A 27037-nucleotide genomic window follows, 5' to 3' on the forward strand; every position below is an offset into this window, starting at 1 on the left:
GATACCTTGTTACATCATTCTACCTTATTCTGTCATCAAATTTTTTTGTGAAAATAGATTGACATGATAGCTCAATAATTTTGTTTATAAGTAACAGCTAGCAGACAATTTCAGAATTGAAGGATAGCATAGATCTTAAGGACACTATGAAGAAAAATCTTAGCCTCACTAAAGTGGAATAGGAGCAAAGGTTGCCACTGTTCAGCTATTTTTGTTGAAATATAAGCTTCCAGAAATGTGGGACTGGCATTATATGCCTCAGGGCCAACTCTTCCTAGAAAACCTTGTTCCTTCTTTAGGCCATCAGTATTTGTTTTACACAGCTTTGGGTTTTATGAATAGTGCTTTTTTTAAACATTATTTGGGTACTCTCTAGAAGTTGCCAACTTTTATTTTGCCAAATAAGGATGTTAAAAGCACCACCTGCTATCCCCATCATTTCATAAAAGACATTTTAAAACACACAAAGGACAGAACTTCATAATAAAGGACAGGCACTTTAAATTGAATACATTTAGTGTGAAATATTCAGCTATGTCTGTATTTTCTACATAAAAATCCAATAATGTTCTTTAAATTGATTTAAAAACACTCAGATTTCATCTGGGGCATATATCAGTCCCTCTGTTGGAGTTTGGGACTCAGTGGTGTATTTATGCCTGGGACTTTTGTCTGAAACCCTCTCTTAACGGCAGCAGAAGAGAGAGAGAAATGACATGCTATACTACTAAAATTATTCTTGTTTTGCAAGTTGTTAAATGAAAGCACTTCAGAAATATTGAAAAAAGCCTTGTAGAATCTAGTTTAATAAGATGATACAGTCTGTTAATGATCAGAGCATAAATGAAGATGTCTTGTTCACGTGTTTCACACTACTGCTGACTTTATACAGTCTTTATAGGAATGCTGCAGATTCTTTGGTTATTTGACCTTTGGTTTTCCACTTTTGATGTTCTGAAGTGGTTAATTGTGACCTTTAGCCATGAAGCCTGATGTTCAAACATTGCTTTTCTGAGGATGGATGGGGAGAAGGGACAGGTATGAGTTTTAAAATTATTTTAGAGTTTCAGATATTATCTGAAAATTTTATAAATAATTTTATTTGAATTAAATCCTAAATCTAGTTTAGGTTTGAATAATATAGGTATGTGTTTCCTGTGGTTAATACCAGTTTTTGAGAAAAGCATGACATATGCTTTTATACACTGAGTTACTGAAAGACCCTTGGAAATGGGATGTTATAGACAATTGATTTTTAAAAAGTTCTAAAGTTATATGGGAGAATGGTCCATGCTTTGGAAATTTCTTCTTTGAAAATATATAGCTTAAACTACTTAAATAGGATAGCACACACCCAAATTTCTGCAGAATTAAATTAGATATTATTTGATAGAAAATTTATGATTAGGAATTCATTGTTTTACTTAATTCATATTTATTGAGGATTTTAGTTAGTGTTGAGTATTGTTGTAAAACTTAGGGATCTAGCAAGGACTTAGACATATCCCTGCCCTCACAGAGTTTATGTTCTAATGAGCAAGCTAGACAATACATAAGTAAATAAAGAATTGTGATATTAAACAGAAAGATGTTGTGGTAAAGACAAATGATGGCGGGTGCTGAGGAGGAGAAAGGCTACTTTAAAATGGATGGTTAGTGCAGGTGCCTTGATTAGGTGACAGTGTAGTCCAGGAACATGGGAAGAAGGCTGTAGGAGGCGCAGAGAACAATGGCCTTGTGGTAGCAAATAACTTAGTGTATTCTTGGAACTATCAGAAAATCAACTTGGATGAAGCATGGTGAACTAAGAAAGGGGATACACTAGGCTCTAATAGGGCCCTAGTAAGTGTTTGCTTAGTGAATGAGTAAATAGATGAGTGAAAGATTTTTATGGTCTTAATTCTGGCCAATCCTTATTGCAGATAAGAGTAATGATGAATCAGGGATAGATATCATTGAGGGTGATGGGCCAACTGGTCAACTCAGAGACTGTAAAGCAGCATCTCAGTTGGTGCCTAAATTTTAGGCTTCATGCTACAGGCCCAGAAGTTTGATTTCAGTATATCAACAGTGGTCTAATCCCTTGAGGAGGAACTTATTCCAACCAAGCACACAGGGACTGATGTATTAATTCAGAATGCTGATCAATTTACATTGAGATCTTCTTTTCTAACGACCAAAATACCATATTAATGTATGTTGTAGGGAGCATTCCTTTTTCCAGCGTGAGGGCACTGGCAAATTGAATTAGTAACCAGAAGCTCACTCAGTAAATTTAGAAGAGGATCAAGATCTTTGGGAGTATTTTGTGTGGGTCAAGTTGATGCTGGATGAAATATCCTTGCTCCACAGTGAAGAATAATATTACAAGTGCATGTATTTTTTTTGTAGGTCACTTTTTTCTGATCATAAAATAACAGGTGAATACCTTAGAAAATAACAATTCTGTACAGAGAAGACCATTGTTAATATTTGTAGTTCTCTACATCAAGATCATGAAGATAATCTATGTAAACTTTTATTTGCTTTTTATTTTACTTTTGCTTTTCATGTTTTGGTTTTAATACATCTGAAGTCCACATTCGGAGATTATGTGAGGTAAGGATCCAATTTAATATTTTCCAGGGAGTATACCAATTTTCCTATCACCATTTCCAAAATATTTATCCTTTCTCCACTGGCTTGTGATATGACCTGTATCATACACCAGGTTTTCATATGGGTCTCTTTCTCAGCTTTTAAATTCTATTCCATTAGTCTTTGATCATATGCAATTGTTTTTCTTATTGTGATTTTTGTACTGTGCCTTAATTTTTTAATAATGCCTTTTAGTTGGATGGTAATTATCCTGGGTTTTCTATGTGGATTATCAGGTCAGCTTCAAATAATGAACACCCTCTCTTCTCTTCCAATTGTTTTACTTGTTTCTTCTTCTTGTCTTATATTAGCCAGAATGTCATATAGTATATTGACCAGTAGCTATGGTGGTGGCGTTTTTATCTTATTGGACTTAAAAAGAAATACATCAAAAGTTTCTCCATTAATGATGATGTTTGCTATAGGGCATTGATAGATAGCCTTCAAAAAGTTAAGAAAGTTCTTTTCTTTCTAGTCTTCAAGGTTAAAAAGTTTTTAAAGATCTTAATTGAATGTGAACTTTATCAAATGCCTTTCTTATGTCTATTGAGATAATCATGTATTTTCTTCTTTAATACATTCCTGTGGTGAAATATGTTAATAAGTTTTCTGATATTAAATTATCTTTGCATTTCTAGAATAAAACCTAATAAGTATTATTAGGGTTATTTTTCTCAAACACCTGATTGGATTCTGTTAGCTCATATTTTATTGAGTGGATTTCCTTCTATGTTTGTTAGTGAAATTGGCCTATAATTTTCTTTGCTGTCCTCATCTGATAGTTTTAAAGATTGTACCAAACTGAAAAATGAATTGGGTAGTTTCCACAATTTTTCTAATTTTGGCTAAATTTTATATAACATAGAAATGCTCTGTTTCAGTTCAGTGGGACACCCTGTAAGATCATTGGGTAACACTATTTCAGTTTTTCATGGTTGTCTATTCAAGTTTCCTATTTTATGTTATGCTAATTTTATTGGTAATATAATTTTTCATTCTATTTATTGTAGGTTTTCAAAAATATTTGGCTATAGGTGTTTTATAATAAAACTACTTTTAAAGTCTTTATTATAGCTATAATTTGTTCCCTTATTTATTTTGTTTGCTTGCATTCTATTGTTATTTTGTTAAACTGTTATTTCCTGAGGTTATCAACAATAGTCTTTTTCTAGAAGAAGCTTCTGATAGTATTAACCTTTTTTTTTCTATACCGTTCCATTATTTTTTCTTGGTTTCTACCTTTTATTATTTTCTTTCTTCCTGTTTCTTTGGGTGTACTCTGTCTCTTGCTTATGTCTTCAGTTGTGCTTATTTTTCAGCTTTTCCTATTTTCTAATACATGTATTGAGAACCAATAATTTCCCTCTAACAAACTTGTCCTAATGAGTGTACACATAGAGCACTGTCTCCACCAAGTTGAAGATAAACCTTCTTTTCAGGCACATGATAAAGAATTATAACAAATATTAGTAAATTGGAATCATTCAATGTTATGAGAACAATGCAATTAAGCTATGACTCAACAATTAAAGAGTAACTTGAAAAATTTTATATGGTTTCAAATAAAATTCAGGTCACAAAACAATTTAAATAGAAATTAGAAAATATTTCAAACTGAAAGATCATGGAAATGCTACAGATAAAAACTTTTAGGGTGCAGCTAAACAGGACTTCGAGGGAAAATTATAGCTATAAATCCTGTATTAGGAAGGAATAAAAGTGAAGAGAATGTTAAAGTCATAGCAAAAATTAATGAAATAGAAAATGAATATTCAGTAGAGGGTGTTCAGTAGAGAATAGCAAGTAAGCTAAAAGGAATAATAAAACTGAAACTTTTGGCAAGATGGCTGAAGGAAAAAGAAGACGTATAACCAGTATCAAGAATGAAAAAGACTCAAGTGCTGCAAACAGGGAAAAGATAAGAAAATAATGTGAACAACACATAACATCCGGCTATAGTATGACAACCATTTCATACCTATCCCAATGTCAAAAATCAAAGGTCTGACAGTACCAAGAATTGGAGAGGATGTGAATCAGCCATATCAGACAGTTAGTTGGTGGGAATGTACATTGGTGCCGCCATTTTATGAGACAGTTTGGCATGATCTTAATAGTTAACCATTTGTATGTTCATCTGCCAAGCACGTCCACCTCTAGGTTCAGGAGAAACTTGAAAATATATGCTAGGAGAAATGTACAAAAAGTTCATAGCAGCATTATTTGATAAAGCAGAAACCTGGAAATGATTCAGATGCCCATGGACAAGGGAATGGATAAAGCACATTCTCAAGTGAATATTATATGGCTACAAAATGATTGAACAACATCTATATTCAAAAATTCTGCTACATAAAATTGAGTGAAATAATTAAGTTCCAAAAGGTCAAATATGCTTAATATTCAAAGAGCAACTTAAACTAAGCTACATACTCTTCAGAAAAATATCTATATCTGTGTGCATATCTATTATTTATAGAGAGACATATAGATATATGATGAGTGATTACAAGATTCAGGAAATATTTTGCATGTGGGAGGTGGAGGATGGGATGGAGGGAAGATCACATAGCTGTATAAAAATGTCAGTTTTCTAGTTCCTATATTGGGTTCACAGTGTTTATTATTAAAAAAAAAAAAGATGGCTTGTATGAACCAATGATCAGAGTGTTACAAAGCAAGGATTTTGAGGCTGGGCATAGTGGCTCACGCCTGTAATCTCAGCACTTTGGGAGGCCGAGGCAGTCGGATCACCTGAGTTCAGGAGTTTGAGACCAGCCTGGCCAACATGGCGAAACCCCATCTCTACTAAAAGTAGAAAAATTAGCTGGGTGTGGTGGTGCGTGCCTGTAATCCCAGCTACTCGGGAGGCTGAGGTAGGAGAATTTTTGAACCTAGGAGGTGGAGGTTGCAGTGAGCCGTGATTGGGCCACTGCATTCCAGCCTGGGAGACAGAGCAAGACTCCATCTCAAAAAAGAAAAAAAAAAAAAGGATTTTGACCCAATAAATATTAAAACATCAAATTAACATATTAACATTCTAAGGGAGAAAAATCGTATGATCATCTTCATGGATGCAGGAAATCATTTGTTAGACGTCACCATCCATTCGTGACTAAAGGAAAAAGCAAACAAATTAGGAATACAAGGCAATTTACTTAAACCTGGCAAGGGGTATCTACAGACAACAATACTGCAGACATCAAACATCATTCTTAATGATGCAAGTTCATAGCATTCCCAAGACTGAGGAACTTGTCAAGGATGGCTACTACCAATTCTGTTGGTCATCATACTGGAGTTAGCCCACATAGTCAATAAAGAAATTAAAGATATTAGGACTGGGGCAAGTAATAAAACTCCTCCATAGATGATTTGATTATCTACATGGAACATCCAAAAGAACTGTATACATATTTACATTTTTTTTTTTTTTTCTCAGACAGGGTCTTGCTCTGTTGCCCAGGCTGGAGTGGAGTGGCACAAACATGGCCTCACTACAGCCTCCATCTCTTGGGCTCAAGCGATCCTCCTGCCTCAGCCTCCAGAGTACCTGGGACCACAGGCACACCACTATGCTTGACAAATTTTTTAATTTTTTGTAGAGATGGGGTCTTGGCGTGTTGCCCAGACTGAAAATATTTTTTAGAAATAAGAATTTGGCAAGTTAGTTGAATATGAAAATCATTACTGACCATCCTCAACCTACAATGGTTTGACTTAGTTTTTTGACATTATAATGGGTTTATTGTGGTATTAAATGCATTTTTGACTCATGATATTTTCACATTACTTTAGGTTTATCAGGACATAACCCCATTGTAATTCAATAGTATGTAATCTGCATACAAAAATCAGTTGCATTTTAATATACCAGCAGATATCAGTTAAAAATGAAAATTTAAAAATATACCATTTACAATAGCATAGAAAAATATGAGATACATAGATAGGAATGAATTTAAAAAGCTGTACACACATGTACACATGAGCACATAGCATAATGGAAATGACTGATAAATTCAGTTGCATTAATATGAAGAATTTCTTTTCTCTAAATCTACCATAAAGACACAAGTCACAAACTAGGCGAAGATAATTGCAAATTATATAATTGACAAAAACTCATACCTAATATACAAAAATATTTCCTACAAAAAAAAACGAAAAAAGAAATCCAATAGACAAATGAAGAAAGCATGAGAACAAGTACTTCATAAAAGAGAAACTTGAATGTCCAATAAACAGGAAAAAAATGTTCACCTCATTATTAATCAGGAAATTCATATTAAACTACAATAAGAAATTTATATTCCCACCACATTGGCAAATATAAAGTGTGATCATACCTGGGGTTAAGAATGTGAGTCTTAAGCACTTACTGGTGAGAATGTAAATTGGTTCAACTACTTCGGAGACTCACGTGACATTACTTAGTAAATTTAAATGTGTGTTCATCCTAAGATCCAGTGGTTCTACTTCTAGATATTTAAAGTAGAGAAAATCTTACACATATGCACAAGAAGACAAGTGTGAGGATATTCATAACAGTCCTACATGAAAATAACTCCAGTATTTATCATCAGTAGAATTCATAATTAATTGTGTTTATATGATACTGCAATAAAAAGATCTGCAGCTACATGCAGCAACATGGATGACTTTTACAGACAATTGTGCAAAATAAGCAGGCTGCAAAAGAATAATACCATATGATTTCATTTAAATAAAATTAAAAGACCTGACAAAGCTAAGCAATGTGTTTTTAGGGTGTACATAAGTGGAATGATTATGAAGGAAGGGCATCAAAATCAGGATAGTGGCTTACCTTCGTGAGGGAGGAAGGGTATGTGATTGGAAGAGGGCTATGCAGGAAGTTTCTAAGGTTTTGGCAATATTTCCTTCACACTAAAAATGTGTTTACCCATGTGTTTGCTTTATTATCTTTATCCTTTAAAATACACATGTGTTTTATTTCCATAGTTATTTATTTTACAATAAAAATACAATAACATAGTCCCAGCTACTTGGGAAGCTGAGGCAGGAGGATCATTTGAACACTGGAATTCAAGGTCAGCCTGGACAGTATAGCAAGACCCTGTCTCTAAAAAATAAATAATAAATTTAAAAGTTTCAATGTGATAATGTATGAAGAACTTAACAACGGCATGGCGCATAGAACATACTCAATAAATGTTTATTATTGTTTTGTTATTAATATCAAAATGTTTCCCTCTACATCTAGTTATAGCTGCAGCCCATACATTTTTCAGGTACTGCTTTTATTTAGTTTGAAGTCTTTAACAAATTTCCCTCCTACTCTAAAACAAGTATTATTTAGTAGACTATTTTAGTTTTCAGGCGTATAGGATTGTTCAATCGATCTCTCTCTTTGTCTTATAATACTGCTGCATTAGACTCAGAAGATGTAGTCTGTATGAAGGTAATTTTTCTGACAGTTATTGAATAAATTTATTTGTAGCTTGAAAAAAGAAAATGTACTTAGATGAATAAAAAATACCTTTGTTGAAATTCCTGCAGTGAAAATAATTTTGGTACTGCAGTTCTGTAACTCTCTACTCTTCCTTTCTCTATTACAGTCTTGATTTTAATATCTCGATATTTGAAAACCCAAGCCTTCTTAGTATTGTAGCCATAATGATATTACAGAATAGACTATGATTTTGTGTTTATATGTATTGTTTAGTATTAATTTATGCTACCACCAGCAGTGTAAGAGAGTGCCTGTTTCCTTGTCCCCTGGTGAGCAGCACTGGATAATATTTAAAAATAATTTTTGGCAATTGGATTTTTTTTCTGTTACATTTATTCCTTTACTTGTTAGTAAACTTTAATTTCTTGAATATATATATATATTGTCCAATTTTCATTCTATGTGAATATTTATGTCCTTTACTAATTTTCTATTGTGAGAGTAGTGTTTTTGGTTTATTTTTTCAAAAATTAATTTGTAAAACCAGTTTATATATTTAGGGTGGTATCATTCCTTGTTGCAATTTTCTTCTTCCCAGTTTGGAACTGGCTTTAAAATTTCCACTTATTCTTTTTTACCTATCGTCTTTTCTTCCTCTTCTTCAGGAGCAAATATTCCCAGCCTTTTCTTCTTATTTCATGTAGAGCAGTTTAGTCTTCTTTTATTGCAGGGGGAAGATGGTCATTTGGCAGTGATGATGTGGCCCCGATTGCAGAATTGAGTTGGAGGCTGAAGCATGTGAGCTCTGATCCTTGCCAGTTCCGTAAGTCCACAAATAACACATCTATTTAGACAGCTTCCAGACAACAGATAGCTGTGAAATATAATCTCCTTTATGATACAGTAGTGATCCTAAATTTAAGTATGTCAAGCATTTATAACCTTCTGACTCCTTGCAAAATTTTATCTCAAGTGATTTCAATATACTGTGCATACTTTATCAGGCAATCCAAAGGAAAACATCTATCTGTAGTGAAAGCATAACACTGACGTTTGTCAAAGGTCAAAGATTCAGAGATTTAACTTATTAATCTATAAGCTGTTAGTATTTTTATACTGTGGTGGTAAAAAATTTGCAGGATTTTTAAAAACATGTTTTAGTTCCTACCAGGAGTTCCTAAGTACATTGTTTTTCTAGTAAAATCCAGTTCGTTCCACATTTTTGACTGAAAAAAGCCAAATCTTTACTTTTTGGGAAGAAAAGGTCCGTTTTTAAGGAGATCTAGTCCTAAAAATATCAAGGATAGAGGCCTAGGAAATATGTAAGCCTCCACAGACTTCCACACATTCCCCAAACTACTTAAGATGATCCCCAAATAGGACCAGCCCTAAATGAGCCCTGGAAATAGGGAAGAAGGCTATCTGTATGCCTCAGTACTAGGGACCGTCTACTTACTGTCACCAGGAGGAGTTACACTGAGAGGGGACATTAGAACTGGCCTGCAATGTCGCTTTTTCAAAACTATCGGCGGGTGCAGTGGCTCATGCCTGTAATCCCAGCCCTTTGGGAGGCGGAGGTAGGCAGATGGCTTGAGTCCAGGAGGTGGAGGCCAGCCTGGGAAACATGGTGAAACCCCATCTCTACAAAAAATAAAAAAATTTTGCCGGGTGTGGTGGTGTGCAACCGTAGTCCCAACTACTTGGGAGGCTGAGGTTGGAGGATCACTTGAACTTGGGAGGCAGAGGTTGCAGTGAGCCGAGATTGTGTCACTGCATTCCAGCCTGGGTGAGAGAGAGACACCCTATCTCAAAAAACAAAACGAAACAAAAAAACAAAAAAACAGATCCCTAAGAAATAAGTAGAAGAAATTATGGGAGAGCCTGATGATACCCCTTCATTTAGAGCAAGGGTGTCCAATCTTTTGGCTTTCCTGGGCCACATTGGAAGAAGAATTGTCTTGGGCCACACATAAAATACACTAATACTAATGTTAGCTGATGAGCTAAAAAAAAAAAAAAAAAATTGCAAAAAGTCTCATTATATTTTAAGAAAGTTTATGAATTTGTATTGGGCTGCATTCAACACCATTCTGGGCCACAGGTTGGACACATTTGATTTAGAGGGATGAGAGCTAGAGGTGGGGTGGGCTTGGGACAGAAAGTGAGCACTCTGTGCTATGAATCAACAGCATCTGAAGCAGTGGGCTGGGAGACCCCAGGGTAAGTATGGCCACATCAAGTAGTAGTCTGTGGCAATGGGGCTTCTGACATACCACTGGGCTTTTGCATGGTGCAGTGGCTAGTGGCCCAGAAACGAGAAGGGGTCACATAATAATTGCCACAGAACACTTATTTAACAAATGCTTAGGTAGCCTTTATTACCTCCCAGGGATTGTTTTAAATTATTGGTTCTTAACTGGAGGTGGTTTTGCCCCCCAGGGGACATTTGGAAGTGTCTGGAGATATTTTTGTTGGCACAACTGGGAGGAGACTGCTACTGGCATCTAGTACATTAGAGACCAAGGATTCTACTGAACATTCTAAAATGCACAGGTTAGTCCCCACAACAGATTATCAGTCCCCAAATACAGTGCCAAGATGACAAAGCCCTGCTTCAAATATTTAATAAATATTAACTTATTTAATCTTCATAGCAACCCTGTGAAAGCTGCTCATTTTTCAGGTAAGGAAATGGAGGCAGATAAGTAACTTGCCCAGTTCATATATCTGATGGAGACTCCAGGCCAAAGGGAAATATGCATGTTCGAAAAATGCAAACATTCTAGAGAAGAGTGGTTACATTACTACTAGCCTAAATAAAATTTAAGGTGAAATGATTTACAGACAGGGTAATTTTTTTAACAAAAAGGCAAAATTCACAATGAAAATAGTTATAAAACTTTGGATACTAAATAGTATAACCCTGAAATATATAAAACAAAATCTGTTACAATGTAAGGAGTAATTTAAATACAGTGCTAGCTTTTTTTTTTTTTTTTTTTTTTTGAGCTGGAGTCTTGCTCTGTCACCCAGGCTGGAGTGCTGTGGTGCGATGACTCACTGCAAGCTCCGCCTCCTGGGTTCATGTCATTCTCCTGCCTCAGCCTCCCGAGTAGCTGGGACTACAGGCGCCTGCCACCATGCCCAGCTAATTTTTTGTGTATTTTTAGTAGAGACGGGGTTTCACCGTGTTAGCCAGGATGGTCTCGATCTCTTGACCTTGCGATCCGCCTGCCTCAGCCTCCCAAAGTGCTAGGATTACAGGTGTGAGCCACCGCGCCTTGCCACAGTGCTAGCTTTTTAAGAATAGCTTTATTGAAGTATAATCAACATACAATAAACTGCACAAATTTGAAGTATAAAATTTCATACTTTTTTTTTGAGACGGAGTCTCGCACTCTCGCCTGGGCTAGAGTGCAGTGGTGCAATCTCGGATCACTGCAACCTCCGCCTCCCGGGTTCAAGCAATTCTCTTGCCTCAGCCTCCTGAGTAGCTGGGATTACATGCACCCCCCCCACCACACCCAGCTAATGTTTTGTATTTTTAGTAGAGACGGGATTTCACCATGTTGGCCAGGCTGGTCTCGAACTCCTGACCTCGTGATTCGCCCACCTCAATATATGTCTGTGCCTGTGAAATAATGCCACAGTTAACGTAATGAACATTTCCACCATTCCAAAAGTTTCCTCGTGCCTGTTTATAATCCCTCCTTCCACACACTTCATGCCCTTTTCCAATTCTGTCAACCAGTAATCTTCTTTCTGTCTTTATAGATGAGTTTGCATCTTCTAGAGTTTTATATAAGTGAAATTATGCAGCATATACTCTTGTTTTGTATGTATTCTTCCACTCAGCACATTTATTTTGTGATATCCATGTTTTTGCAAGTATCAACAGTTCATTCCTTTTTATTGCTAAGGAACATTTCATTGTATGGATATACCACAATTTGTATATTGATTTACCTTTTGATGGACATGTGGGTTGTTTCTATTTTTGGCTATTATAAATAAAGATGCTGTGAACATTCATGAACAAGTCTTTGTATGGACATATGTTTTTTTTTCTCTTGGAAGAATACCTACGAATGGAATGGCTGGGTTATATGGTGAGTATGAGTTTAACATTTCAGGAAACTGCTAAACTGTTTACTAAAGTTATTGTTCCATTTTATATTCTCACCAACTATGTGAGAGAATTCCAGTTACTCCATATCCTTGCCAACATTTAATATGCTTACTCATTAGGATTTTAGACATTTAAATAGGTGTATAGTGGTGTCTCATTGTAGTTTTAATTTGCATTTCCCTAATGCAAATGACTGATGATGTTGAGTATCTTTTCATGTATTTATTTGTTATCTGTATGTCTTCTTTGGTGATATGTCTGTCCAGATCTTTTGCTCATTTAAAAAATTGGGTGTATAATAGGGTTCTCCAGAGAAAAAGAATTGACGTGTGTGTGTGTGTGTGTGTGTGTGTGTGTGTGTGTGTGTGTATACAGAGAGGTACTTGTTTAAGGAATTGGCTCACATTATTGTGGGGGCTGGCAAGTCCAAAATCTGTAGGGCACACTGGCCACTGGAGTCCTTGGGAAGAGATGATGCAGTCTCAAGTCCAAAGGCTGGAGGTATAATTTCTTTTTCTTTGGGCAACCTCACTGTTTCCTCTTGAGACCAACACCTGATTGGAGGAGGTCTATCTACGTTATGGAGAGTCATCTGCTTTACTCAGAGTCTACTGATTTAAATGTTATTTACATCTAAAAAATACCTTTACAGCAACATCTAGACTACTGTTTGACCAAAAACCGAGTACAATGGCCTAGCCAAGTTAACACTCAAAAATTAACCATGACAGGTTGTTTGTTTTCTTACTGAATTTTGGAAGTTTTTATATTCTGGATTCTAGTCCTCTCTAAGATTTGTGATTAGCAAATCTTTTCTCCCAGCCTGGGTTGTATTTTCATTCTCTTAACAGTGCCTATCTAAGAGAATGTCTTAATTTTCATGAAGTCCAATTTATCATTTTTGTCTTTAATAGATCAGGCTTTTGGTGTCATATCCAAGAAATCATTGCCCAGCCAAAGGCATAAAAATTTCGTCCTTTTATTGCTCTACAAGTTTTACAGATTGAGGTTTTACTCTAGGTCTATAATCTATTTTGAGTTAATTTTTGTATATGGTGTGAGGTATGAATTGAAGTTCACTTTTTGCATATGGGTATTTAGTTCTTCCAGCACCATTTGTTGAAAAACAATAGTAGTTTTTTACAGATCAAGTATGCAAAAACACATATAAGTGTATAAATAACAGAATTAATAATATACCCTCATTTTAAGGCTAAGGATTCTTGAAAGATTTATGGAGCATTTATAAAAATTGACCTTATTAGCCATATATAAACTCTTGATTTGAGCCACATAACATAATAAAACTGGAAATTAATAATTAAGTGTAAACAACAAGAAGCATAGAAAACCTCCATGTCCTCATCTCATTCTAATATAGTCAAGAAAACCCGTTTAATCAAGGCAGCAGAACAGCTGCTGCCAATGGTCATTTCCTATTGGTTGGTATTGAGCCTTGGGTTATCTCCTCCAAACGTCTTGTCAGTAATTAATGCTAGCCTTGGTAAATGACATATATGGTAATCAGCCTGTACAAAATCTTAGCTAAATTACTGGGGCATGATGCCTTTGAGGAAATGTAATGTTTCCTAGGGACTGAATAGAATAAAAAATAGAATAAAAGCAAAAACAAGCAACCAACCCCCCTAAAATGTCAGAAGCAGTGTATACTTTATCTTACAGGTTTGCCAAAATTAGGGGTAACTCCCACTTTCTGGTCTTAGCATTACTTTGATCCCTTTAATCCCCTAGTATTTAGAGAATTCAGGGCACCAAGATAAATCAAAGAGTTTAATAAGTTTGATTCCCAATAAAAGGTGATGCTAAACAACATTTGGCCTCTAGCCCCATGGCTACCTCTAGCATATACAGAGTCTGTGTGCAAATTGCAAGGAGGCACACGTTCCTCTGGGCTGAAGCAACCTCACATTAGGCTTGGAAGACAGGATACATGAAACACATACCGAGCACAAACTGCAGAGTTGTATTTGTTGGCTTGGTCTAGCCCTCTCCCACTGTTTTAATTGTCCTAAAGCAGGGGTGTTTAATCTTTTGGCTTCTCTGGGCCACTTTCAAAGAAGAATTGTCTTGGGCCACACATAAAATACACTAACACTAATGATAGCTGAGGAGCTAAAAAAAAAATCACAAAAAAATCTTATAATGTTTTAAGAAAGTTTACAAATTTGTGTTGGGTCCCATTCAAAGCCATCCTGGGTCACATGTGGCCCACGGGCTGTGGATTGGACAAGCTTGTTCTAAAGAATGATGAGACTATGTCTTAGTCTGTGCAGGCTGCTATAACAAAATAGCATAGACTGGGTGGGTTATAAACAACAGAGATTTATTTCTCACAGTTCTAGAGGCTGGGAAGTCCAAGATCAAGGTGCTGTCAGACTTGGTGTCTGGCAGGGGCCCACTTCTTGCTGGTCCTCACATAGTGGAAGGAAGAACTAGCTCTCTGTGGTCTCTTTTATAAAAGCACTAATCCCCATCATGAATGTTCTACGTAATGGCAGGCAACTGTTTCAAATGAAGCAAGTGAAGACTTTTCTTGTCTTCTCATGGCAAACATATGGGTTCATGATGTCATCCTATCATAACCGGCTTTCCTTGTTTGGGAAATGAAGGTGGGGGGGTTGTTTTGTTTTAAATGTGTTTCTAATAAAAATGCCAGTACAGTGTTCAAAGAGGTTTTTGAGCAAGTGATTTTCAAGTGCAATTTTTTTTATCCTTCAGTGTTGAACATCTGGAAAAGAGACACATAGGCATTACTATAACTGAATAATAACAGACAACAATTGTAATCTGCTTATTTAATCTCTTTCTCTGAGAAAAGAAATATTAGATGATGAAGGTTGTCAGGATTTTTCTGAGGGTCTCCCCAAATACCGCTTTCCCCAAGTCAGTCTTGGGATAGTGATTAAATCAGATTAGATTAGATCAAGCTTATCCAGTTTTCTTGCCTCCTTGCTGAGAAAATTGCTTTTGATTTTCTCAACATTTCCTTTTTGAGAATAAGTTCTTTGCTTCATCTTTGCAACATGAAAGAGTGTTTTTGCCACAATAATCAGTGTGTTAAGGTGATTTCAATCATCTATTTCTAGAGAAGAATAAAAACTACATGTAGTTTCTAAATAACAAATTTCCTTACTTCTAGTTCTCAAGATTTCCAAAAAATTGGAATTTACTTTTCGCTAGGGCATTCCTTTATAATGGATAAAACGTTGTGATACACTGTGAGTTTATAAAAAACAAGAAACAGAAAAATATCTCAATTTTCAAGAATAATATATACAAACACAGAGGTTATAAAACTGATAAACTTCATTACAGACTATGTTTTGGTTTACAAAGCTATGTTTTGTATTAGGTATACATTTACTTACTGAATTGTTTCATTGGAAGAAATGTTAGAAATTGTTTAGTTTTGTCTTTATCAAAAGCATTCTTGAAATTAGACCTCAATATTTTGGAATCCTTGAGGACTAGAATTGAGGAAATTGCCATTTAAAAACTCTAAAGCAAGCCTACCTGGTTTTCAATTTCAGTCCTGCTGCAGATTAATTCTGTGACCTTGAACCAGTAAGTAACTTTTTCATGGCTCGGTTTCTTTACCTCTAAAACGGGAATAGCTCAGAGGTTGACAGAATATGCTGATGACTTAAATGTGTGTTTGAGAGTGTTGGGATGGAAGAGAAGGCTGGGGTGGGGTGGAGGGCAGGAAGGATGGGGGCGAGAAAGAGAGAGTTAAAGATATATTCAAGGTTTCCAGTAAATTAAAGTATCCTTTATGAAGTAGAGAAAAATAAAGATGAAGAGGTCTGGGAAGGAACATCAATTTGCTTTTGCACAGTTAAGTTTCAGTTGTCTAGTAGCCGCCATAAGGAGAGATATAGAATAGATAGTTGAAGCTACAAGTTTGGATTTCAGGAGAAAGGTCAGACCTGGAGGTAAAGATTTGGGTCCATCCGTATATGAATGGCATTTGACATCATGAGAATGGATGAGGTCAACAAGGGAGTAATTGCAGTTAGAGAGGAGATCCAAAGGTTGAGCCCCAGGGCACTCTGACATTTAGATGTCAGGCATTTAGGTGTCAGAGAGAGTAGTGACTAGCAAGCAAATGGAACCTTTTCCCATAGGATCCTATAGGAAACCTGATCCTGTAGGATTAGCCTATAAGGTAGGAGGAAACCAGGGGAGGGTGGTGTTTAGAAGTCAGTCTTTCTTGATTAATTGCATTAAATGCTATTGTCAAGTGTATCAAGTAAGACTTACAGTTATCATTGGATTTAGCCATTCAGCAGTGATTGATGACTTTGATGAGAGCAGTTCTGGTGGAGGGATGCGGACAAAGCCTGATTGAAATGATTTCAAGAGACAATGGAAGGAGCAAAATAGGAGCAGCAAGTATAGATATTAAAAAAAGAAGCTTTGCAATAAAGGTGAAAAACGGTATGTAATATCTTTGAAACGATAGGTGACATATATTGAGTACTTACTGTGTGACAGACACCGTTTCAGGTACTTGTATTTTGTTTAATGAGGAATAAAGAATTGAGGCAGTCCTTGCTTTGCATGATAGCAAGGACCATGCAAGCGAAAACTATGCAAAGCAATCTTCAAAATCAATGGGAAGGATTATGATTGTCGTGTGACCTTTAAAAATTTTTGTCAAAACGTTCAAAACTCTATAACTGGTGATTATTCATGTATTTGGAAGTGAAAAAATAGTAAAACTAATATTTATAGTACACTGTAATTTATGACATTAGGAACATTAAAAATTAAAATATTGCATTTTATTCTAAAAAACTTAGGAGAAATGTGAACATCACTTGCCTTCTCATCATACAGCTTACTGTATGAAGGAAGCATCATTTCTACGTTTGGGTCAGTTTCCAACATTTTATCCTTTCATCTTTCAATGTTGTGAAATGTCTCTGAGAATACATTTAATGTGAACTGTTTTTTTTTTTTTTTTTTTTTTTTTTTTTTTTTTTGAGATGGAGTCTCGCTCTGTCGCCCAGGCTAGAGTGCAGTAGTGCGATCTCCACTCACTACAAGCTCCGCCTCCCGGGTTCAAGTGATTCTCCTGCCTCAGCCTCTCCAGTAGCTGGGATCACAGGTGTGTGTCACCATGCCCACCTAATTTTTGTATTTTTAGTAGAGATGGGGTTTCGCCATGTTGGCCAGGCTGGTCTCGAACTCCTGACCTCTTGATCACCTCGGCCTCCCAAAGTGCTGGGATTACAGGCATGAGCCATCACACCTGGCCTTAATGTGGACTTTTTGCTGGCATCAGTTCCTCTAGGGCATCTTCATCCTTTTTGCCACAACCACTTCGCTCATTTATGTCCTTAAGTTTGCCTTCATGATGTCCCTCAGGCTGCATATCTAGAGTCTTTCCAACAGTGGCAGTGTCAACATTTCCATGGTTAGCTCTCTCTTCTGTAACCCCATTTATGTTCAATTTGAATGTCATTTCCAGTGACATCGCTTTTTGTTTCCTTGCTGCACTTTCATCCTTTTGGTCAATTCCCACTTTCAATTATCCAGTTTTGTAAAATGTCACTTGGATTTATTACCGGGAGAGAAGGAGGTAACACAACTACACACTTGGCCATCTCTGCCTGAACTGAATAACACACACACACAGTAGCCAATCACCAACAGACTTGGGAAGAAATGATGTGACTGGTCACTGATCGTGATGCCCATCTGTTACTTACATGGTGATTTGTGGACTGAAAAGCTAGCAGTGAACTTTATATTGTATGCAGTTACTCACATATAATTCACATGGTGACTGAAATTTGAACCATGTTGTTGAGGGATTGGTGTTAATTAAACTATGGTAACTGAAATTTCTGCATATTAGAATGGTGTACAGAACCTGTGCACAGTGAGGACCACCTGTAGTAATAGCTTTAAAGTAAAATATTGATAAAAAATAAAGTCTTCTTATGTGTAAAGACTTTACTTAAAGTCACATTTAGGTAAAACCTGACTTGAAGTTGTATACATATCTCTCTATAATGCTACAAATTAATTATACATAAACATGTACAAATTAGCTCTTCAGGAGACCCATTGCAACATTTCTTCTTCTTTCTACCTTTGTTCCTCTCTCCACAAATATATCCTCTTCTTCCAGTTATAAAATTAAGACTCTTATGTATTTAAATTGAAACAAAGCATAATAGTTGTATTTGTCCATTTTCACACTGCTATAAAGAATACCTGAGACTGGGTAACTTATAAAGGAAAGAGGTTTGTTTAATTAACTCACAGTTCCTCATGGCTGGGTTAAGCCTCAGGAAACTTACAGTCATGGTGGAAGGTGAAGGGGAAGCAAGCACCTTCTTCACAAGGTGGCAAGAGAGAGAGAGAGTGAAAGCAAAAGGGGAAGAGCCCCTTATAAAACCATCAGATCTCTTGAGAACTCACTGTCATGAGAACAGCATGGAGGAAACTGCCCCATGATCCAATCACCTCCCACCAGGTTCCTTGCCCAACACCTGGAGATTACAATTTGAGATGAGATTTGGGTGGGGACACAAAGCTAAACCATATCAATAGTGTGTGTGGAGGTAGTGGGTATTGAAGGGAGGACGAGCTGGTTGTGGAAGAGGTAATTGCTTATAACCAAAAGAAGCCCCCTAAAGCTATTAAGTTATATTATTAAATTAAATGTACATCTACCATATGACTCTATCATTCCACTTCTAGGACAAAGACTTGCACATGAGTGTTTATGATAGCTTTATTTGTGATAGCCCTAAACTAGAAATGACCAAAATGTCCTTCCACAGGTGATTAGATAAATATATTGTGGCATATTTATACAATGGAGTGCTGTTTAGCAATGAAAAGGAATGGACTTATATGTGGAATCCAAAAAGTCAAACTAATAGAAGCAGAGAGTAGAATGGTGGTTGTCAAGGACTTGGAGCAAAACGAATGGGGAGATGCTGGTGAAAGGGTACAAATTTCAGTTAGACAAGATGAGAAAGCTCTGGAGACCTATTGTAGAGATGGTGACTATAGTTAATAATGTTTTGTATACTTGTAAATTGTTAAGATATTAGATATTTAATGCCCTCACTACAAAACAATAAGTATGTGAGGCGATGGATATATTAAATAGCTTAATTTAATCATTTCACAATGTATACATATATCAAAACATTACATGTACACTGTAAATATGCATAATTTAAATTTGGCAGGTATACCTTAATAAAATGGTGGGGGTACAAAGACAACACCCTCCACAAAAAAAGGAAAGAATACTCAATAGTAAACCTGAAATTTTGGAGTTCTGTGGGAGGAAAAGTGTATGAATAGTATACTAAAGATATTGCAAGAAAAACGAATGGCTACTGACATGTGCAGCAATATGGGTGAAACTTCAAATACTATGCTGAGTGAATGAACCCAGACCAGGAGTAAATACTCTATGATTCTACTTATATAAAATTCTAGAACATGAAAATATTGGGTAACCCAATTCAAGTATTGAATTCAATACTTGAACAATTCAAGTATTGTTATCTGCTTATGTATAAAAGAAAAAGAATCCCTTTCTTTTTCTTAGAGCATGGTAAGTTGGTTTGGCTAAAAAGGACGAAGTTCTTGATAAGTAAAGTATTGCTTTGCCTTTGGTGATCGGAGTGATCTTAACAAAGAGTGGTACCTAGTAAAACAGTTTCACATCCCTCAGTGTTGCATGGAAACTTTTAACATACCTAAATATCTATGGACTAGAGTTCCTGCTATATCTGCTGGCCATTGTTTGACACTGCCCCCTCCCCCACCCCAAGTACGAAAGAGGTTGTAGTAACACCATTTGTCACACACACATATTTCATCCTAGATTCACCAGGTAATGAGGGTGGACATTTGTGTTTGGTAATTGCTTTTACCCAAAGGAATAATAGTACTTCTCATATCTCTGTGACGGGGAGGTAGTTACAATTTGGAGCCAGATACTTAAATTAACTCTCATGGAGTCTGGGAGATAGGGGCACTCTCTTCCTTGATGTTTACATTTCAAAGAGATGGCTTCCAGGTCCTTGAGAAAGACATTCCTTGGTTGTAAAGCTGGCAAGAAGGTTTGTTTAGCTTTTGAAAAGATTTACAGACATCTCAAAGAATTTACAATTGCAAATTTTCTAAAGGAAATGCTCCAGGATAAGGGAGAGGAGGTGTCTTTCCCTTTCCCTTTTTACACCAGGATTTTTATATTTTTATTTTTTTGGATTTGGGTTTACCCTTACAGTACTTATAATCTGAAATTCCTTGAATGTGGTCCAAAGTATATTTCTGTTCATTTGATCTCACTGGAGACTAGAGAAGAGTCTCCAAATATAATTTAACTTTGAAAAGTAAACTTTCTCCTTCAGGCCACTAATTAACTTACTCCAATTATTGTTATCCAAGCCCTTTCTTGGTTTATTCACTATCTCAACAAAGGAAGGCATTTTTAGGTAAGTTTAACCAACCCTGCTTTGGAGAAAGCCCTTCAAATTCAGTTCTCTTTTATTCTGGCAATGCCAATGAATATTAAATGTCAGATGTTGTGCCTATTGTCCTGGGCGCCAGGGACAAATGGTAAAAAAGACAGGCATGCTTCTGTTCCCTTTGGAGTTTATGTTCCGGCAGGGAATGAGACATTTAACCAGTGGTATTACCAGCAGGAGCCAGTGCCATGAGTGTGACTCATGGAAAAGCACAAAGTGCCATCTATAGGATAATATTGTGAAATGTCCTAACCTGGAACTGCAAGAGGTCAAGTTATGGAGGGCCTGCAAACCTTAATAAAGATTTAGGATTAAAAATTCAGTGCCTTGAGCCCGTTCCTAGAGCTTTTGATTCTTTCGGTTTGGTGCAGCTCAAGAGCCCATACTTTAACAAGCTCCTCTTGTTCTGATGCAATTAGTCCCAATACTTTCCTTTGGACACTCTGGGCTATAAAGCCTTTGAACGTTTTAAAGCCAGAGATTGGTATAATTGGATTTGATTCGATTGATGGAAGGATGGGGCAAGAATGGTTGTAAGGGATTTAGGGAGCTACTGTAGTAGTTAGGCAAAGAATAAGGGTAGCTTGGACTAGTGGGCATATAGAGAAGGGACATCTATGTCACTAAGCATTTGAGAAATATTTAGGAGTGGAATAGGATCTTGTGATTGTTTAAATGTGAAAGGAGTTGCTGAGGGAGAAGAAGGAATCAAGGATGACTCCCAGGTTTCAGACTTGAGTAATGGGCTGGGTGGTGATGTCATTTCCTGAGATGGTGAACACTGGGAGGAACAGCAGTTGGAATTGAGGTATAGGAAGGAGGAGTTAATATTTTGGACACCGAGTCAGCCATGCAGAGATGTTTAGTAGGCAGTTAGATCCAGCAGTTTGAAGCTTAGGAGACAGGGCTGGAGTTTGCATGTAGATTTGAGAGTGGACAGCTGAGAGATGGCAATTGGAGGGCAATGGATGAGACCCCACGGTGTTAGTTCATTTTGCATAGCTATAAAGGAATACCCAAGCCTGAGTAATTTATAAAGAAAAGAGGTTTATTTGGCTCACAGTTCTGCAGGCTGTACAAGAAGCATAGGAGGACATCCGCTTCTGACGAGGGGGTCAGGAAGCTTATAATCATGGTGGAAGGTGAAGAGGGAGCAGATGTGTCACATGGAGAGAGAAGGAGCAAGAGAGACATCAGGCTTTTTAAAATAACCAGCTGTCCTGTGAACTAATAGATAACTCACTCATTACTGTGGGGAGCACACCAAGCCATTTGTGAGGAGTCCAACCCCATGACCCAAACATTTCCCACTAGGCCTCATCTCCAACACTGGGGATCACATTTCAACATGAAATTTGGAGGGGGACACACATCCAAACCATACCACTGCCCAAAGAAAGCCTCTAGATGGAGAAGGAAAGAAGACCCAGAAGGAAGCCAGAGCAATGTCAGACTGTTTTGGTCAAGGAAGAGGAAGAAGAGCCAGCAGTAGATACTAAAAAGGAACAGCTAGGAAGATGGAAGGAAAACTATAATCCCTTGGCCAAGTGATTGGCTCAGGGGTGGCCACATGGCCCATACAGATTTCTTTCTAGGATAGATAAATGAATGTTGGGGAGAAAATTCTTTCTTTCCTATTGTGTTTGCTAAGCTAAAAAGACGTTAATCTGGTCCATGAGCAGCCACCTTTCCTGCTGCATGTGAGAGCTTTTCTGAAGAAGGAAGCTGGTGCACAACCAGAAGCAAAGTTGAAAAATGGAGAGCAATGAGCTCTGATGACACTGTGTGAGAGGTGATTCTAGCTGTTATGTTGAATCCCTTATTTACCAGTTACGTGATAATGACCTTTCTTACCTAAGCTAATTGACTTAAGCTTTTGTCATTAGCAACTGAAAGTATCCTAATTAATACAGCGACCGTTGGTTAAAGTATTCACTGTATTGTTGTGGGAGACCCTTATTAAATACCTTTATGGGCCTGAAGCCCACTATTCCTATCCTTCTGCAATTACCGTAACAAAAAATAGGATAATTAATTTGTGACTTTTTAATTTTAAGTTACTTCAGAACAGTATGCTCCTTTTCAGGAAAATAAATTATATTACAACAAGGGAAGGCAGTATTTGCTAGATTCCTTTGAGAAATCTCTAGAGATTATACTTGCTTGCTGTTTTAATGTTTCAACTAGGGGATGGAGAGGGACCTGCCTCAAACAAGATACCAGAGTTATGATTGGATTTGTCGAGGTCCCGTCATTTCTATCCCAGGGGATAAATAAAAGGAGGCAGAACCCTTGTGCTGTTGTGTCCACAAAACTTGGGTGTTTAACCCTCAGGACCAGGTCAGTTCCTAGCTTAGTGTGGGGCAGTGGGGTGAAGGTTTCCCACTTTTGACAGAAGGCTTAAAACTGTGATGTAATATTTGAATAATACTTAGTGTTGCCTGAGGAGAATGATCAGAGAGCTTTGATTGGTCTTTTGTGTCTTGCTGTCCTGAAATTTCTATCTCGTTTCTTAACAGGTTTCAAAGTAAGCCTAGCACAGAGAAGGAACTCATCTCAGATTTTGGTAAGGTTTTAAAACACATACGATAATTTAATTTAGAGCATTGTTGCCTAAAAAGAGCAGTACACTATCTCAGATAAATTAAAATGGCAACAATAGCGCTTTCCTTAGAACATGTGAAGAGGGCAGATACTTTTAATTTTGTGTGTGTGTGTGAAAAAGGAAGTGAAATTTTAAAAATAAGAAATACAAATCTAAAAGGTGAATGACACCTGGTAAGAACAACAACACAGATCATATTTAAGGAAATTCATAAAATTAAACTTGAATTTTAAAGTTAAGTTAGAAGACATGTAATTTAAAAACCTTTGGGAAGTAGTAAATCTACTGGTGCAGTGTAGAAATCTCCCATGTAGTAATTCAGTTTCCTTTTCAAATGCTCATTGATGGCATTTAATTCTGTCTGTTGGCAAATTTTTGAAATCTATCTCCCTTCTAAAGGGAACTGAGGACTTCATCTCAGTTGTGTACTTTTCATTCACCTTTCCACTCTTCAGTAAAACAAATACCCCTCATAAGCAATATTCAACACCACTATGTTTATACACCACCCTTCCTATACACTTGCAAGTAACTGTAGCGAAAGATTCAACCATCTTTTCCTCCTACCTCGGCATTGAAGGAACATAGCACAGGTACCATTAAGAATAGCCATACACAAATTGAGAGAGGCTTTAATCCACCTTTCAACTGAAGAATGAAAGATGGATTAAAGCCTCTCTCATTTTGTGCTCCTGGGCAAGTGGTGGCTGGCACGCACACATTTATTGAGTGCCTGTACCGTGTCAGTAGCTATGCAAGGTTGAGAGGATACAGAGATGAAAAAAATATATTTCCTGCTCTTAAGTAGTTCACAGCTTATTGTAAATCCAAATACAAAACACAGCAGTGTATAGGCTCCTCAGCATTGAGGCTGAGGTTAGGAATGCAGCTGTTAGCTCCAAAACAAGGCAGTTGGCTGACCTGGGATCCACATTCAAGACACTGGCCTTGTCAAAACTGCAGTTTAACAAACTGAGTTAAGCAACTAGAACTATCTGTTCAGTCTCAGTGTTACCCTGAGTACTCATGAAAGAATTTCAGAAAAAATTCCTAGGCAATTTCCTCTTTACAGACAAAGCAATGCTAACATGATTTTTTATTTGGGATTTAGAGCATATTTTTCATTAGTTTTAACTATATTTTCAACATTTACATATCCTCTTTCTCCCTTCCTCCCTGCATAACAGTCAATTATGTTTCTTCAGTTATTCATCCCTGTTTGAAAGCAGCTGCAAGGTGCCTTAGTTAATACAGCTGCAACTACTAAGGTCTTGTATGGCCACCTTAGCCCCATAATGCCATCAACTACTATCACATTTGTCTAATCTGTCAATCCCATGCCTTCCACCACTGTATTTTGAATCTGAGTGCACTAAGACTTTCTCCAACACTTCTCTACTCTGTATGTGTGTCATTTCATAAGAAGCTTTGTTCCCATAGGAGGTGTGGTTGCCTTGAGAGATCTGCGAATGTACAATCAATCCACAGAGTTTTTTTTCAGCCAATTGTTAGTTGTAATTTCTCATCATTGGATTACAACAGTTAGGTTCCTCCCACTGCTCCCAGCATCCAGCTACTAATAATTCTACTCCTCCTTCACTTCCTAGCGTTTGTCATTCACAAAGTTTCTACTTAGGAAACCTTGCCAAACTTACTTTATATTCTCTTTGCTTTTCATTTTTCATTTACTACTACCCTAATCTATAGTCTGTATATTCCTTATAAACATAAGTTTTGAAAGCAACAGTAAGATTTTACAATTTCAATATATAGATTTGTTAAAATACTTAAATTGTTTAAGAAATAGCAGCTGACATATTTGAGCCAGACTGCTTTGGTTTAAACCCCAGCTCTGCCACTCGCTGGTTGGGCTACTCATTTGGACTCTTTAAGCATCTGAAAAATAAGTATAATAATAACATATAGGTAGTATTACATAGTGGTTAGAGTGAGAGGATTCTGGCGTTGTGTTCAAATCTTAGCTCTGTCACTTATTTGCTGTCTAATCTTGATCAAATTTACGTAAGTTTTCTAAAGCACAGTTTGCTCTTTTATCCAAGGATAATGATAGCACCTGCCTTAGGAGATTGTTGTATAAATGCAAGGCCTTAAGCCCAGTGCCTGGCACATCTTAGTACTAAACACATGGTCGCTGTTCTTAGGAAAAACACATAGAGTTAAAATTGATCAACCAAAACTCAGATATATAGCTTTCTAACTTTTCTGTGTCTGGCTTAATATTGTTCCTGTTGTTGATGGGTAGGGGAAAAAGCAAAAGTTCCCATCCCAGGCAATAGTCTATTACAGTTTAAGCGGGTATCTTTCAGATGACTCCCACATTTCTTTTGTTGGTAGAATGGAAAGTCTTAGAGGATTCCTCTCCCTGCCATACCCCTGTGATCACACTCCCTTCCTTCTTCTCTTTCCCTGATTGGTCTCTGGGCAGAGAAAGAAGCTTGCATCACCTCGTGGTAGTAGGAGTTCCATCCCAAGAGGACTGTTCCTCTGCTGCTTCCCACTGACCCCTGGCTGATGTGCAACTCATGCTACCTCACCTTTGAGTGTCTGATGCTATTCTTTCTGCATCTACCACTGATGCTTTTATGGGTTGTGTAGCTTGTGGCCTGTTTTCCAGTCAAGGGAAATGAAAGATGGTTGCTCTTCCATGGAGAACTTGGGAAAGTTCTCCGTCATGTCTTCCTGATGACTGAGCCCCCACTGGGCTCCTACTGATGCTGATGACCTAATGTGACTCAGCAGCTCTCCTTTTCCATACCCCTCCCCTATCCCTTTGTATTGTTCAACTCTGCCGTCCTTTCCAATTGACTAATGGAATTATATATCCTGCAAGTTATTCAGTTATCAAAATTCCAAGTGGAAAGTGAAATTCAAGTCCCCTCTTTGCTTTTGGCATAGCCTCAAACTATCTGGGGTATTTTTATTGCACTTTCCCTAAGTTTGGGATGTGGGGGGGTAGAATTGAGGACGTCCTTGATGACTGCATGTGCTCTCTCCCTCTCTCTTTTTCTTTCTCCTCTCTGGGCTTGTTTTCCCAGTGCCCAAAGGGCTTTCCACCTTTCCTCTCTAGGTAGCGGGAATGCCATATCTTTTTTGTTGTCTACTCCGTGGCTTTTTGTAAGATTCTGATCAAGTTGGCCAGACTTGACTCTCTTGATTTATGATCTACAATATATGAAGGGATATTAGAAATCCCCGTTATTCTCCTTAAAAAACAAACCAAGTTAGCTTTCACGTCTTTTCTGTTTCTGCGGGCTAGAATTCTGGTTTGAACATGTAAACTGAGCAACACTTCTCTTTCCACCTGAAATGATGAACATTGTTGATTAGGTAGGTGGGACTTGCAGGATAACATGACATATGGGAAATGAAATTTATATCACTTTAGTCTTTCAAAAATGTTCTTATTTCTATTTGTTTATAGAATGATAAAAAAGCAGAAAAATAATCATTCATAATTCCATCTCCAAGACATAGTCACTGTTAATAGTATTTCCTAGCTGGGTGCTAACTGGGTGACTTAGAGCAAGTCAATTTATCACTTTGATCCTTAGTGTCCTTTTCTGCTAAATGGGAATAACTCTTCCTCCTCCTCCCAGAGAGGGTTGTTTTGATTCCAAATGATATTTTTTTAAATTTCAAATTTTTGTGGTAACATAATAGGTGTATGTATTTATGGGGTATAT

The 27037-nt window shown here is 37.0% G+C and overlaps 1 protein-coding gene across 1 annotated transcript in view, besides 1 other annotated feature; it reads left to right on the top strand.

The window, feature by feature from the left end:
* The first annotated feature begins 6220 nt into the window (after positions 1–6220).
* Positions 6221–27037, top strand: part of NXPE2 (neurexophilin and PC-esterase domain family member 2) — a 349427-nt gene continuing 328610 nt past the window's right edge. The window contains exon 1 of the mRNA XM_017017209.2: positions 6221–8894. The gene's annotated coding sequence lies outside the window, so the exon portion shown is untranslated. The remainder of the gene's footprint in view (positions 8895–27037) is intronic.
* Positions 10979–11179: a silencer, noted in NCBI's record as "peak1476 fragment used in MPRA reporter construct". NCBI's record gives its function as "represses an SCP1 promoter by STARR-seq MPRAs in K562 erythroleukemia cells {active_cell/tissue: K562}" and the evidence as "EXISTENCE:reporter gene assay evidence [ECO:0000049][PMID:32103011]".

The sequence above is a fragment of the Homo sapiens genome, chromosome 11 (genome assembly GCF_000001405.40).
Source record: "Homo sapiens chromosome 11, GRCh38.p14 Primary Assembly".
In the NCBI taxonomy this organism is placed as follows: domain Eukaryota; kingdom Metazoa; phylum Chordata; class Mammalia; order Primates; family Hominidae; genus Homo; species Homo sapiens.